This window comes from Homo sapiens, chromosome 19 (assembly GCF_000001405.40).
Source record: "Homo sapiens chromosome 19, GRCh38.p14 Primary Assembly".
Taxonomy (NCBI): domain Eukaryota; kingdom Metazoa; phylum Chordata; class Mammalia; order Primates; family Hominidae; genus Homo; species Homo sapiens.
Genome location: NC_000019.10, coordinates 10802777 through 10818289, shown reverse-complemented (window position 1 = coordinate 10818289; position 15513 = coordinate 10802777). Strand labels below are relative to the sequence as shown.

At 55.7% G+C, this 15513-nt stretch overlaps 1 protein-coding gene and 1 non-coding gene across 6 annotated transcripts in view, besides 1 other annotated feature; one reads left to right on the top strand and one right to left on the bottom strand.

The window, feature by feature from the left end:
• DNM2 (dynamin 2) overlaps positions 1 to 15513 on the bottom strand; it is a 113825-nt gene that overhangs the window by 13614 nt on the left and 84698 nt on the right. For 3 of the 5 annotated variants that reach the window (NM_001005360.3, NM_001190716.2, NM_001005361.3), the window contains exons 13-15: positions 12323 to 12374; positions 9710 to 9721; positions 5913 to 6026 (exon numbers count right to left, since the gene is read on the bottom strand). In NM_001005360.3, the coding sequence (NP_001005360.1) occupies positions 5913 to 6026; positions 9710 to 9721; positions 12323 to 12374 (178 nt within the window). The remainder of the gene's footprint in view (positions 1 to 5912; positions 6027 to 9709; positions 9722 to 12322; positions 12375 to 15513) is intronic. The other 2 variants (NM_004945.4, NM_001005362.3) reach the window with 1 other exon arrangement.
• On the top strand, positions 794 to 864 carry MIR199A1 (microRNA 199a-1). Its single transcript, NR_029586.1, has one exon. It is a non-coding gene; the product is annotated as a microRNA 199a-1 (primary transcript).
• Positions 5675 to 6607: an enhancer, noted in NCBI's record as "H3K4me1 hESC enhancer chr19:10922359-10923291 (GRCh37/hg19 assembly coordinates)". NCBI's record gives its function as "activates a minimal SCP1, AML or CMV promoter by ChIP-STARR-seq in primed H9 embryonic stem cells {active_cell/tissue: H9 hESC(primed)}" and the evidence as "EXISTENCE:reporter gene assay evidence [ECO:0000049][PMID:30033119]".

Below are 15513 nucleotides of genomic sequence, written 5' to 3'. Positions count from 1 at the left end.
AGGGGCCCGGTGGCCATGGAGGGAGCAGAGCATAGGAGAGGGGCCCGGTGGCCATGGAGGGAGCAGAGCATAGGAGAGGGGCCCGGTGGCCATGGAGGGAGGGATGCCGCTGCGGACCCAAGGGAGGGAAGGTGATGAAGAAAGCCTGCACCCGTCATCCCAGGCAAGGCTGGGTAACACAGGGCCTGGGTCCCTCCCACCTTTCGGGGAAGAGTTTTGGGGGCTTTAGAAGGGGCTAGGGGAGGGGGCTCTGCAGAAGCCCTGCCCCCGGCTCGGACGTTTGCCCAAGGGCCTTTGCTGCCCTGACCCTATCATATCACGCGGCCGGAAGCTTCCAGCCAGCAGGGCCAAGTAACTGAGTCACAGGCCATTCCAGCTAATGCCACATCTGGAACTGTTTACAGTGCGATTCCGCCGAGAAATCAGTGGCCGCCTTCCTGGTGCTGCCGGCACGCACGCGTGCGCGCGCGCGCACACACACACACACACGTGTGTGTGCGCCCCTCCTCCCCACCCCCGACCCCCAAAGAGTCAGACATTCCTCCTGAGCCCAGAAGCCACGATCCCAAACCCTGCCTCCTGCTCCGCCTCCCCCACTCTTTAGGATTTCCTGAAAACCCAGAACTTTCTCCAGATGCGAGCCGGCCCCAGCCTTGCCACGTCAGAAGGGACAGAGCGGATCGTCTCGGGAAGAGTGGTGGTTTCCTTGGCTGCTCAGAGGTGCTGAGGCACGGCCTGGCCTGGTGGCCCCAGCGTCTGCCTGGGGGGTTCTGCAGGATGGATAGCCGGCCCCGCCAACCCAGTGTTCAGACTACCTGTTCAGGAGGCTCTCAATGTGTACAGTAGTCTGCACATTGGTTAGGCTGGGCTTGGGTGAGCGGCTCGTCGAGACAGGCCCCCCAAACTCGCCGGCAGGTGAGTGTCATTTTCCACCACCCCGTTTCCCACTGTGGCAGAGCCTCGCATAGAAGATTCGAGGGCCTGGGTGGGAGAAGAGGCACTGGGGAAAGGCAGAGGGAGCCCCGAGGCCGGCCGAGGGGTTGGAGGCCCTGGCCCTATCAGTCTGCCATCCCCACCCCATGGCTGTAAATGTCTTGTTTATTTTTTAAATAAAGAGATATTGATGTCTTGTGTCTCACTGAGGCATCTAAGAGGGTGGCCTCCTCCTCAGGGGTGGCTGCCACGTGTGTGACTCCAAGGGTCCCTGCTGGGATCCTAACTTGGGTGGTGGCGGGGGTCAGGTTCCATGGCTGCCCCCTCCTGAATGGAGCCTGCTTTGTGTCTGGGGCTCACACAGGGCCCCTTTCACAGGTCGGCTGTTTCTCATTACGGCCGGCGCCCGGCCCTTCTCCCACTGCTGCTCCAGACTCCAGTGTGGGGCTCCACGGGAGGGTCGGGGGCTCTGGCTTTCAACTCTCAGATGAGAAAAACACGAAGGGCCCCTCACGTGAAGGAAGAGGAGATCTGAAAACTAGACTTGCAATGCTGCCAGGCAGAGAGCTGCCAGGCTGAGGTTCAGGCCCAGAGGCTCCTCCAAGGCTCGCTGCCCCAGGCCTGGCATTCCCACCCAGGGGACCCTGGAAGGTCCCCACAGCCCTGAACTGAAAGGCAGGGCACCAGCTCTCAGCCGGCCTGACAGCCCACACACCACAGCGCAGGCTGGTTTCTCACTGCAAGGCGGAAAGAGGGGAGAAAAAGAGAAAGGGCACCCTACCCCACCCCAGCCATTTTGAGGAGCCATCCGATCTGGACACGTGAGTTCCTAGAGGTGCCTGAGGCGGGGAGAAGGCTGCAGACCACGCCTGGCTCCACACTCCTCCCACATCCCAACCCCATGAGGTTCGCTGGATCTGAGGTTCTGGAAGCTTCCACAGGGACCCCAGAAATGCTTGTATGGTGGCTCAGCAGACTCCACCACCCTGGGTTTAGAAACAGCGCCCCAGAGTCCCGCAGAAGCCTCAGGGCTCCTGAGGTTTCAGGAACATTCCAGAGATGAGCGTCTGGCCTCATGTGGAGCGGGATGATCCTTTCACCCCCAATGTCCTCAGTCAAGGGGACATCAGGCCTGGGCTGCAGCGGAGGTGTTCGGATGTCGGGCTGGGGTGTCCCTCAGGTCAGGGAGCATGGGCCCGCAGACGTGCACTGGGGAAGCCTCCACCCCAGGGGGACCCTCCCCCGCTCCATGATGTGGGGCAAGTCACCGCTCAGAGCCTTAGATGGGGGTGACCACAGAGCCACCCGAATAGCAAGCGTGAGGGTTTCCTCACGGGGAGTAGGGTTCTCCTCAGGTGTGGCCTCAGTGGGCTCTCTTAGCCAATGAGCCCAGCACAGAGCAGGGGTCCATAGCCAAGAGGCCCGCCTCTCTTTGCTTCTCCCTGGGGCCAGCCGGGGCCCCCCAGCCTGCCTTCTCTCTAAGTCTGGGACTTCCAAGCCCAGTCCTGCCTATCCTGGGGCTGGGTTGGGTGCCAGCAAGTCCCCAGTGGGGGGCACTCCTACAGAGCATTCCCCCAAACCCAAGGGGAAGAGAGCCAGGCAGGGCGGCTCCAGGGGCCTCAGGCAACCCCAGCCTCTCCACTGAGGTTGCCTGGACTGAGTTGGTGGCTGTGCCATCCCAGGGACCATGGGGACTGGCCAGCTGGCCCTGCACCTGACACAGCCTCCAGCTCCTCCTCTGTGCACTGGGGGTAGGTGGGTAGGTTCCCTCCTACAGAGAGGAGCTGGGAGGACTTGATGCTGGTAGTTACCAGGACAAAACCTGGGACACATGCAGTGAGCCAGGCACAGTCCTGGGCTCAAGTACCAGAATTCCCCCACTGGTTCCCGCAGTCCAGAGGGGACAGGCCAGAGTCCTGACTTTATAGGTGGGGAGACGAGACACGAAGGGTTGACACCACCCAACCAATATCCTGGTGACTTCCGGGTGTCAAGCCCCAGCTGTCACGCTCAGAAACAACCAATATCCACTTCCTTCTTAGAAAGTGCTAGAACTGTTAGCTGGACTCACAGTTCCCACACACAGAGGCCCTTCTTTCCCTTCTTGGGCTGCTAGAGGCTACATGGTGATGGGTATGGGGCAGCCATTTTAAACTATGAAGGGAGCCCTGTGTTAAGGTGGCAACAGGAGACGCGGAGCCAGGCCCTGGACAGCCTTGCAGCACAGGGTCACCAAGCTCACTGAGACGTGAGCAAGAAACAGACTTCATCTCTTTAAGAGCCTTCATTTTGGGCCTCTGTTACAGACGCAAATCCATTGCCCACATAACACAGCCATGGCTCACAGGACAGCCTGCAGTCTTCTCCCAGAGCAACCAGGACAATGAGAAAAACACAGCTCTCTTTGCCAGGGACTCTTGAAAGCCAACCTGGACCGCATCAGAGTAGCAACAAGCTATCACACAGAAGTGGCTTCCCTTCCAGGCCACTAAGCCATGGTTACGTCAAGAGAATTAAGCAAGAAACGGGTTGATCAGGGCCATAGAAAAGAATGAGATCCTGTCATTTGCAGCAACATGAATGGAACTGGAGGTCATTATGTTAAGTGAAATAAGCCAGGCACAAAAAGACAGATCTTGCATGTTGTCACTCATACGTGGGAGCTAAAAAAATAAAAGGTAGAAGAGCGGATCTCACAGAGGTGGAGAGTAGAAGGATAAATACTAGAGGCTGGGAAAGGTGGGGACAAGTAGGGGGTAAAGAGAGGTGGGGTTAATGGGTACAAACATACAGTTAGAGAAAAGGCATTAACTTCTATTGTTCAACAGAAGAGTAGGGTGACTGCAGTTAAGACTATAGTTAACAACAATTGTCTGGTGTTTTTTTTTCTTTGAGACACACTTTCACTCTTGTTGCCCAGGCTGGAGTGCAATGGCGCAATTTTGGCTCACCGCAACCTCTGCTTCCCAGGTTCAAGCGATTCTCCCACCTCAGCCTCCTGAGTAGCTGGGATTACAGGTATGCGCCACCACGCCAGATTAATTTTGTATTTTTAGTAGAGACGGGGTTTCTCCATGTTGGTCAGGCTGGTCTCGAACTCCCGACCTCAAGTGATCTGTCTGCCTTGGCCTCCCAAAGTGCTGGGATTAATGGCGTGAGCCACTGCGCCCAGCCTGTTTTTATTTTTGAGAGGGAGTCTCTCACTCTGTCGCCCAGGCTGGAGTTCAGTGGCACCATCTCGGCTCCCTGCAAACTCCACCTCCACCTCCCAGGTTCCGGTGATTCTCCTGCCTCAGCCCCCCAAGTAACTAGGATTACAAGCGTGCGCCACCACACCTGGCTAATTTTTGCATTTTTAGTAGAGAAGGGGCTTCACCGTTTGGCCAGGCTGGTCTTGAATACCTGACCCCAGGTGATCCACCCACCTCAGCCTCCCAGAGTGCTAAGATTACAGGCATGAGCCACTGTGCCCAGCCAACAATGCAACAACGTATTGTCTATTTCTTCTTCTTCTTCTTTTTTTTTTTTTTTGAGACAGTGTCTTGCTCTGTGGCCCAGGCTGGAGTGCAGTGGTGTGATCATAGCTCACCACAGCCTCCATCTCCTGGGCTCAAGTGACCCTCCCACCTCAGCCTCCTGAGTAGCTGGGACTACAGGTATGCACCACCATGCCCAGCTAATTTTTTTTGGGTTTTAATAGACACAGGGTAATGCTATGTTGCTCAAACTGGTCTTGAACCCCTGAACTCAGGCCATCCTCCCACCTCAGCCTCCCAAAGTGCTGGGATTATAGGCCTGAGGCACCGTGCCCAGCCTTGTGTATTTCAAAGTAGTCAGAAGAGAGGACCTGAACTGTTCTGAACACAGGAAAATGAGGAATACCAAAGTGACAGACACCACAAACACTCTGCCGTGATCATTACATACTCTGTACATCTAATAAAACATCACAGGGACCCCATAAATATGTCAAACATTATGTATCTTTTTCTACATAGGACCATCAGGAGGGATGCTGGGTCAGCATGGAGAGCAGAGGCCGGTTGGCAGTATCCTTGCTCAAGGCCTGCCCCCTCACTCGCAGTGAACGAGTCCCTCCCATGACTCAGCACTCAACACTGCTCCCTGCAGTCATCACCCAGGGGCCTCTCCACTTCCTTCCCATAATGACGAGCATGTGGGGATCGTTCTGCACACTGTGGCCAAGCACCGCACAGTGGGCAGGGACCATCCTAGACCACTTCGCAGATAGAAAAACTGAGGCCCAGAGAGGCAAGGGGCCTGACTGAGGTGTAAGTGATGGAACCCCGGTGCCCCTGGAGGCTGGCTGCATGCCTGAGCCCCTGACCCTTGGGCATGGCCCCTTCTCTTGAGCACGGGGCAGTCACAGTGGCACTGGAGGTCAGGGCCTGTTTCTAGCCTGCTAGTGACTCCATCACCCTCCATCTCCCTTTTGCACTCTAGGAGCTGGTCCCATGGGGGCCAGGTACAATGTAAGCCTTTTGGCACATGGTGGCTGCTCTCCAGCCCTGGGTTACGGTTGTTTTTTGTTTGTTTGTTTGTTTATTTTGAGATGGAGTCTCGCTCTCTCGCCCAGGCTGGAGTGCAGTGGCGCAATCTCGGCTCACTGCAACCTCCGCCTCCCGGGTTCAAACGATTCTCCTGCCTCAGCCTCCTGAGTAGCTGGGATTACAGGCGCGTGCCACCACTCCTGGCTAATTTTTGCAATTTTAGTAGAGACGGGGTTTCATCATGTTGGCCAGGCTGGTCTCAAACTCCCGACCTCGTGATCTACCTGCCTCGCCCTCCCAAAGTGCTGGGATTACAGGCGGGAGCCACCGTGCCCGGCGAGTTACAGTCCTAATGGTGACTCAGGGCAGAGTGGCGCAGTGACTGAGTTCTGCCCAGAGGGAGCGCCCACCCGCTCTTCCCTGGCTGCCCCACCTACCCCAGCAGCCCTGCTCCCGCCTGCCACTCACCTCCTCATCCTTGTACCAGGACAGTGACTCGGCAGTCAGCACAAACCAGTACTCCTTGGAGCCGCCTTTCATCAGGCTGATGTTGTTGATGGTCAGCCAGCCCCTGCGGATCACCTGGGGGAAAGCGCGCAGCTTAGCAGGGAACCTCGCTCCGTGCCCCAGCCATCCCCCAGCGCAGCAGCCTTGCCCACAGCTCAGTGGGAAGCCAGGGACCGCAATAGAGACACCTCCAGCCCCAAAGCCCAGGAAACCCAGTTCCACCCTGTCCCAAGCATTTCCAGCAGGAAACCAACATGAGGCGCCACCTGGGCAGGTGGGCGGACAGACAGACTCACTGGGCCAGGGGCTGATGGGGTATAGACTCACAGAGGCCTGATGGAAAGGGGCCCATGGGAGGAGTCCCTGGGGCTTGTGTGTGGGGCTGTGGCACATGAAATGTGACATCTGAGGAACTGCACTTGTTTGCGTGAGATAAGGTTCCAAGGGTAGCATCCACACAGAGGGCTAGGGTCAAAGGTGTGAGCCCAGGGGCCCTCCCCAAGGACATTGAAGGAGCGCGGCTCATGTCCCAAGCTGGCTGCAAGCCTGGTGGTCATCCTTTTGACTGACACATCAGGGTTTCAGGCTGGGAGACCCCATGGATGGGGATTGTGTGGCTGTAGCTGTCATCTGCGTGGGGGTCAGAACCCAGGCCTGCGCAGGGACTCACCTGACAACTAACGGCAGGCAGCCTGGGGGCTGTGCTCCCATGCTCCCTGGCCGCTGGAGGCATGTGTGGGCAGAGCCCCCCACCCCACTCAGGACGAGGGCCCTGGGAGCTGCAGGAAGCACACGGAGGCACGCACAGGGCGGCCTGGGACCCAGGCACTGACAGACTTGGCCAAGCTACAAAGGGTGGGCTGAGCATGGCCATGGACAGCTGCGAAGGGCTGGCCTGCATCCCCCAGTGCAGGGCATGGCAGGGCACGGCACGGCAGGAGCGCCAGAGATGGGGCCTCCAGGAATCCCTCTGGGGCCCAGATGCTGTCCTAGTCGGGGGCGGTCCTCTGGAGGGGCTTCATCCGGACTACCCCGACCCACCCCGGGCCTGACATTCTGAACCAGGGCCACCAGCCCACAGCTCCAGCGGCTCCTTGGTGGCTGGATGTGAGTGCTAAGCCCCAGGTGGCCATGAAGACGGAGGTGGCTAAAGAGTACCCAGGGACCCCTGGACCATGCAGAAGTCACTGCCCAGGCTGGGGACAGCATGAGATGCCACCGGGCGCCCCTTGTTAAGGCCAAGGGTACAGACTTATCCCTCCCTGGGATGAGCAGACAGGACTCTCACAGTTGTTTGGAGCAGGCAGTGACCCCTGGCATCTGGCCATTCACGGGCTGCCTGGTGGTGGGTGAGGGGGCTGAGGCCAGCAGCCCCTGTGAGGTCACAGCATCCCCTCTGGGAACGCAGTGACGAGCTCTTCCTGGTCTGTCCAGGACGTCCTGGTGTTAGCACCAAAGGTCTGGCAGTCTGGGAATGCCTCCATTCACCCGGGGGGAGCGGGGTGGGGGCACTGCCTTGTCTCAGCCCAGAGCTGGGCACAGAACGAGTGCTTAGTAGACCCTGGTTCCATGACTGAATGACAACCAGGTGAGGGAAAACAGGGAGACAGGCTGTCGGTGCTCCCCCAGAGAAATGTGAGGCCTCCATACTCCTAGGCCTGGCCCGGTTTCTAAGGAGAGGGATGTGCCCGCACACCCCTCGGTGGCCTGGCTCTCCTGCCTCCAGCCGGGGTTAGTGTTGGTCAGAGCTGGAGCACAGGGCCCACGCTACACTTTGGGGTGCATGGCCACAGGGCCAGGGCACTGATCGGGGCCATGCTGGGGATGGCACACCAAGCCTTGGGGCAGGACGTCTGGCAGAAGCCCTGAGGTGCCCTTCTCCACACGGGTTCAGAGACAAAATCCCACCCTAGGGAGCTGCAAGCTGTGGGTGGCAAACAAAGGCCCGTTAGCCATCCACCACTTGTGAGCCAGAGAAAGGGAGCAGCCAGGCCTCAGCAGAAAGTCAGGTTTGCATCCAAGGGACACATCCCAATGGGACTGGGCTTAGAAGGAAGTAGGGGTGGGAGAGACAGAAGAGGCGGCAGGCCGTTGCGGGCTAGGGTGCACAGTGACAGGCAGGCAGGCACATGGGGCGGTATGGGTGGCAGGGCAGGCAGGGGGCGGCAAAGCAGGGATCCTCTGGCAGGCTGCTCCAGTCTCTTTCCTGGGTGAGGGTCCTGGCCTGAGTCTCCCGGGTAGAGATGGGAACCACAGATGGGAGACCCAGAGGCCACGGCCACGCTCATGACGGGGCTGGGCTATGTGGCCTCTGGTAGGAAAAGAGGAACCCCTAAACCTCTTGGGGTACAAGGGAGAAGCAGGTTCCTGGTCTTGGCCTGGCAAATTCAAAGGGACTGGGGGGAACACATGAGGAACCTGAAAACCACAAGCCCGAGGCCAACTAATTCCTCCCGTCACTGCCCCACCCATGGCCCTATCTGCACACCCAGGCCCTGGGAGCAGCGAGGCCCTGGCATAGGATCGGCTCAGCTACAAGAAAGACCCTGGGATTGCCAGAAGAGCCCCGCCAGAGGGCAGTGGCAGGGATGACCAGCGCCTTGGTGGCTGGCAGTGGGAGAATGTCCAGCAAAAGGGAGCCCCTGCTAGGACTGGAGGCCCAGGCTGTGCTGTCCAAGTGTAAGAGCCGGGCTGAGGCCGGCTGCCTAGAGGTGAGCTCCTTGAGCTGGGTTCAGTTCTCAGCTATGAGTAGCAGGCTGCTTCCCGCTGGGCTGGGCTGGACTGGGCCTCACGCCCATCTCACGCCCCACACTGGGCCCCAGCTGAGGGTTCTGCACAAAGGAAGGAGGTGTTACCCACAGCAGGGATGGACAGCAAATATGATTCATCTCGGGAGCCATGTCAATCGACTGGTACAAGATACCTGAAGCACTGTGGTGAGAATTCTGGGCGTGGCAGGAAACGGTGCTAGGATCAATTAGTGTTGCCTGTCACAGGCCAAGGATAGGAGAAAGGGTAAGTGGAACAGAAGAGCCTCATCAATTTATCTGGAGGACAAGAGGCAGCATCTAGGAAAGAGGCTCCTGATTGACTAGTCATGCCTGCCATGCATAGAGAAGAGGGTATCATATAGGGAGAAAAACAATACCTTAATCACTTAGCCACATCTGCTATAGAACAGGAGTGCTGGCAAGCTTATTTGGAAAGAATGCTAGGATTGCTTAGCAATGTCTGCCATGGGCGTGTGCTAGAGGAGCGGCACAAGGCAAAGAGTGCTAGATCAACTAGCCATGTCTGCCATGGGCACAAGAGGGCAAGATTTCTGCCATGTGGAAAAATATGCTCTGATCCATGAGTGACATCTGCATAGGAGATAGAAGGAGGAGGGGCAGTGCCAAGAATGAATTCTGGTCTGGCTTAAGCGAGATCTTCCACAGCCAGGGATGTGAGGGGAGGCAGGGGCGGTGTGTAAGTATTTGCCATCCCTGACCTACAGGAAACCAGGAAAACCTGCCAGGAACTGGCTGCAGAAGTGCGCCTTCAAGGGTGGCGGTCCAGTTAGTGCCTGTGTGAGTCGACTTATACCCAGGGCAACGTGCAGTCCAGCGCCGGCTGCGGCATGGGGTTTCCAGGTTAGCTCGATTTTTAGTATTTTTGTTATTTGGAGGGGATGGGGAACAGGGAATATTAGGGGTGGGCGGGGTCTCCATCACCACTAGATTCTCTAATGTTTGCTACCACACTAAGCATGTACTTACCAGGATCTCCCCCTTTGAATATGCAAAGTTAGGGTTGTGGGTAAATCAGGGAAGAGCAGGCAAAGGAAAAGAGATGGAAGGGACGTGAAGGGGACAAAGAAAAAGCAGGAAAAGCACAAAAACAGGAGAAGAGAAGAGCAGGGGAAAAAACAGCAAAAGAAAAAAAATTACATGCTATTAATCATATTCATGGTGTTAATATTTAATTCATTATTATCTCAAGAAACAAAAAAGCAACAACATATGTATTACCTACGGCAAGCGCAAAAATAAATCATGCAATGGTTACGTTCTTCCTTCCAGTAGGCTCTATGATCGTGCAAGGTACATGGTGGAGTCCCCGCCCCCACCCCTGCCCAATGGGGAGAAGGGAGGGACATAGGCAGAAATTTTGCGAAGATTATGGTTTCCTTTTCTTTCTTTCTTTTTTTTTTTCCTGATATGGAGTCTCGCTCAGCCGCCCAGGCCAGAGTGCAGTGGTGTGATCCTGGCTCACCACAACCACCATCTCCTGGGTTCAAGTGATTCTCCTGTCTCAACCTCCCGAGTAGGTGGAATTATAGGCACCCACCATCATGCCAGGCTAATTTTTTGTATTTTAGTAGAGACGGGGTTTCACCATGTTGGCCAGGCTGTTCTCTAACTCTTGACCTCAGGTGATCCGCCCGCCTCGGCCTCCCAAAGTGCTAGGACTACAGGTGTGAGCCACCGTGCCCGTCCAGGTTTTCTTAAAAATTAATGATAAAGGCTGGCATGATAATCCCAGCACTTTGTCCGGGCGAGGCGGGTGGATCACCTGGGGTCAGGAGTTCGAGACCAGCCTGGCCAACATGGTGAAACCCTGTCTCTACTAAAAATACAGAAATTAGTCAGGGGTGGTGGCAGGCTCCTGTAATCGTCGCTACTCAGAAGGCTGAGGCAGGAGAATCACACGAAGCTAGGAGGCGGAGGTTGTGGTGAGCTGAGACCGCGCCACTGCACTCCAGCCTTGGTGGCAGAGTGAGACTCTGTCTCAAAAAAAAAAAAAAAAAAAAAAAAAAAGGCTGGACGTGATGGCTCACGCTTGTAATTCCAGCACTTTGGGAGGCCGAGGCGGGTGGATCACCAGGTCAGGAGTTTGAGACCAGCCTGGCCAAGATGGTGAAACCCCCTCTCTACTAAAAATACAAAAAAATTAGCTGGGCGTGCTGGCGGGCGCCTGTAATCCCAGCTACTCAGGAGGCTGAGGCAGAGAATTGCTTGAACCCGGGAGGTGGAGGTTGCAGTGAGCTGAAATCGTGCCACTGCACTCCAGCTGGGACACAGAGCAAGGCTCCATCTCAAGAAAAAAATAAAAAAAAATTAGCCTGGTGTTGTGGTGAGCACCTGTAATCCCAGCTACTGAGGAGGCTGAACCAGGAGAATCGCTTGAACCTGGGAGGCAGAGGTTGCAGTGAGCCAAGATTGCGCCACTGCACTGCAGCCCAGGTGACAATGCGAGACTCTGTGTCAAAATAATAATAATAATAATAAGGTACTGAAGGCAGGCATTGATACAGCCGTTCATATTTCACAAGGCCTCTAGCTGGGTTAAGATGTCAAGGTACAACCCTTTGTGGCTCAGGGCTTCTCCAGGTGTGGGGCTTCAACTATCCCAAGCTCCCCTGAGCTGCTAGTGACAATGTAGTTTCCAGCGGCTCTCACCTAGGGGCTCCCAATCCCTGGGGCTGTGTTGGAAAGCTCAAAGAGGTCACAGACCCCCGCTCAAGGGAAAAATTCTTATTTATATCTTTATTATTATTATTTTTGGAGACAGAGTCTGGCCCTGTCACCCACACTGGAGTGCGGTGGCGCAATCTTGGCTCACTGCAACCTCCGCCTCCAAGGTTCAAGCAATCCTCCTGCCTCAGCCTCCTGAGTAGCTGGGATTACAGGCGCGTGCCACCACGCCTGGTTAATTTTTTGTATTTTTAGTAGAGATGGGGTTTTTGCCATGTTAGCCAGGCTGGTCTCAAACTCCTGAGCTCAGGCAATCCGCCCGCCTCAGCCTCCTAACATGCTAGAATTACAGGTGTGAGCTATCGTGCCCAGCCTATTATTAATTTTTAAGATGAGGTCTCATTGTATTGCCCCGGATGGTCATGAACTGCTGGGCTCAAGTGACCCTCCCACCTTGGCCTCCTAAGTAGCTGGGGTGATAGGCATGAGCCCACCACTCCCAGGTAATTTTTAAATATTATTATTTGTAGAGACAGAGTCTTTCTATGTTGCCCAGGCTGGTCTCAAACTCTTAGCCTCAAGTGATCCTCCCACCTCGGCCTCCCAAAATGCTGGGATTACAGGTGTGAGCTACTGTGCCCAGCCAAGAGTCAAGTTCTAACCCTGGCCTTGGATGGCACATAGGGCCTTCTGGGTGGGTAAAATGTGCCCACTAGGCCCTGCCAGAGTGTTGGCTCTCAGGCCATCTCCCAGAATTATCAATTCCTAAGTGGCCTCTAGAGAGAGCAGATGGCCTGGTACTGAGGCTGTGGGGTGGGGCTTTACACAGGCCGAGCTCCATCACGGGGGCTTAGCTGTCACTTAGCGTCCTCCCGCCCCCAGGGTAGAGCGGGAGACTGCAGAGGGGTGTGCTACCTGATTGGGGATGGCTCTCTTCTTGTTCAGCTGCGTGCTCCTCTGCTGGGCACTGAAACCAAAGAACAGACAGGGTTCACGTGGACAAGATGCCGGGGGGGAAGAAGGGGAAGAGGCGAATGTGGCCGTTCTCTCCCTGGGGACCAAGTGAGCAGCCACAGGTAGAGGCAGAGAGAAGCCCCCTGCACACACAGAGCTGCGCAAGGGAAACGGCCTGGGCACACGGAACAAGTAAATGTATCTGGTTCAATTGAGGCTTCTAGGCCCTCATCTCAGCCGACTTACTAAAGCGCAGGTTACTTCCAGATGTCACTAGAATCCCGGAGTTTCTAAGGGGAAGTGTGAGAAGGTGTTGCCTAAGATGAGTGCAGTGGCGCAATCACAGCTCACTGCAGCCTTGACCCTCCCGGGCTCAAGTAGTTCCCCTGCCTCAGTCTCCCGAGTAGCTGGAACCACAGGTGCATACCACCATGCTCAGCTAATTTTTGATTTTTTGTAGAGACGAGGTTTCACTGTGTTGCCCAGGCTGGTCTTAAATTCCTAGACTCAAGGGATCTGCCTGGCTCCACCTCCCAAAGTGCTGGCATTACAGGCATGAGCCACTGCACCTGGCCCTTCTTCCTACTCTTCTCATCATTTGATCCCAACACCAGCCTGTAAGTGGCTCTAACCACAGAGCCATCCAGTCTTAGACATCAGACTGTGGGACAGCTGCTGGTCATGAAATGACACATATCTTGCATGACTCCTGACCCAAATTTAGAGGACATCCAAGGTCGACAGGGTGTGTTTCTATAAGGTTCCTTATTCATCCACAATCCCAGATCTCTTTTCTTCTTTATCCATCCTACTTCCTGGCTAGTTCATGCCGGCATAGACAAATCCCACTATATTTTATATGTGGACACCTACTCCACCACCTTACGGTTCTAATATATTTTCTACTCTGACAATCATATCACCACTTGCAAACAACATATATCTCCTGTTACTTATCCATCATATTTTCTTGTCTTTTCTTATTGCTTTGGCTGAAACTTTCAGAACAATATGGAAAAGCAAGTCAGCTTGGTCACCTTCCTTTGCTGACTACCTCGGGGGTTTTGTTTTAAAGTCCAAGTTGGCTGTAGGATAAGGGAGAAAGTAGGCTTCTGTTTCTAGATCAGGAAAGGCTGGAAAACTAAGAACAAAGGCAGAATTTTATCCAGTGATATTCCCAACATTCAGTAAGTTTATTATAGGGCTTCTTATCTGGGCTATTTATTTACTTATTTATTTTTGAGACAGAGTCTCACTCTGTCACCCAGGCTGGAGAGCCCTGGTGTGATCATGGCTCAGCACAGCCTTGACTTCCTGGGCTCAGGTCATTCTCCCACCTCAGCCTCCTAAGTAGCTGAGATTACGCACCACCACCATGCCCAGTTAATTTTTGTATTTTTTGTAGAGACAGGGTTTCACCATGTTTCCCAGGCTGGTCTCAAACTCCTGGGCTCCAGCAATCGACCCACCTTGGCCTCCTGCAAAGTATTGGGATTACAGGCATGAGCCACTGCGCCAGGCTTGGGCCCTGTTTATAATATACATTTGGAGGGCAATGGGAAGCCCAGAACATTCAAGCACAAGAAGGATTTTCATCAACAGCATCTGAAGGAGGTGGCACTGAGCTGAGCCAACCTCCACAGTGATGGCTGGGTGACAGTGAGGTTCCAGAGGTGCTATTTCCTAAGGGCCTCCTGGCTCCCATCCTTGCCAGGGCTCCCTCAAATAGCAGCCCACAAGGTGGCCCCTCTCCTGGGCCTGGATCTAATCAGAAGCATCCTGGTGTCTTGGGGGAAAATCCAAAATCCTCCCCTGGACCTGCAGGGCCCTCCTGGCGATGGGGCCTGGCCGCTGGCTCTCTTACCTCTACCTGCCTGGTCTGGTAGCCTTCCTTCCCTGGGTCCAATTCTCTGGGTCCCCCTGGCATCACCTGACTTCTTCAGGAAGATCTCTCCAGGCCACATTCCCAGCTCCCCTTTCCCATAGTCTATCCCCTACCCTCTCTTCCTACTCTCATCATCCTTGTGACAATTTGTTTAAGGACTCCACCTCCCCAGCCTGCAGGCTCTGAAACAGCAGGGGCTACAGCTGGTGCGGTCAAGGTCCTGGCCCAGAGGCCCAGCACTGGCCCTGGCTCTGAGAGAGCACCCCGTAGCTCTTCAGCGGGCCCCAGGGATGTCCCACCCAGGGCTGGGGCCACCCAGCCAGGGCGTACCCCGTTCACACACCAGGGCAAAGGCACACAGCAGGCAATACCCACCAGGTCACCAGCTGCTCAGTATAGTAACAGCTGGGGTAAGTGGGAAGGCCCAGGAATCCAGAGGAAAGAGTGGTCAAAGGAAAAACAGGAGAGATTGTGAGAAGGAACTGTGGATGAAGTGTGAGAAGCAGAGACATCAAGGTGAGGAAAACAGCAGCAAACCAAAGATGGGGACCAGCGCTGTGAGCCCACACACACCCGGCGGCCGGGAGCACAGGGCCGGGGGCTGCCACCCACAGGCAGGGGAGGCCCAGTCAGGGACTTCGGCTCATCTCTAGGAGGGGTTCTGATGAGGCCCTCATTCCTTCGTTTTCCTTCCTCCCTTCTCCTCACCTACCTGGTGCCCAGCACGGAACAGATCCTCAATCAGCTTTGTCAGGTGCACCGATAAATGTTGTATCTGGTGACTCCATAGCCTGAGATTTGGCTCTAGAGGCCCTCCCCTAGGAAGCCTGCCTGACCCCTCAAGGCAAGGCCCAGTGGCCGCCCTCTGGACACCCACAAGCCCTGCACGGCCCCGCCCAGCACTAAGCACACTACACCTTAACGCCCTGGGTCCCCATCGGTTCCCTGCATGTGGTCTTCCTCTGAGGGTGGGGAGCTGGGTGTGGGTTTGCCCACTGCTCTATCACAGGGCCCAGCGAGAGGGCATACCAGCGGCACCACCCGGCCTGCCTCAGGCAGGAAGGCCTGCGTGAGCCTCTCCAACAATCTGAGTGAGGCCTAAGCATGCCAAGGGGCTGAAGGAATCAGCGGGTGATGCCTGAGACCACGCACACTGAATCGACATCCTGCTGAAATCAGGGCTCCCCGATGTGGGCCCTCATCTGGGTGCCACGGAAGGTTCTGGTTTAAATCTACAGTGTATGCCTTGAAGCTAGGGAGACCCCAG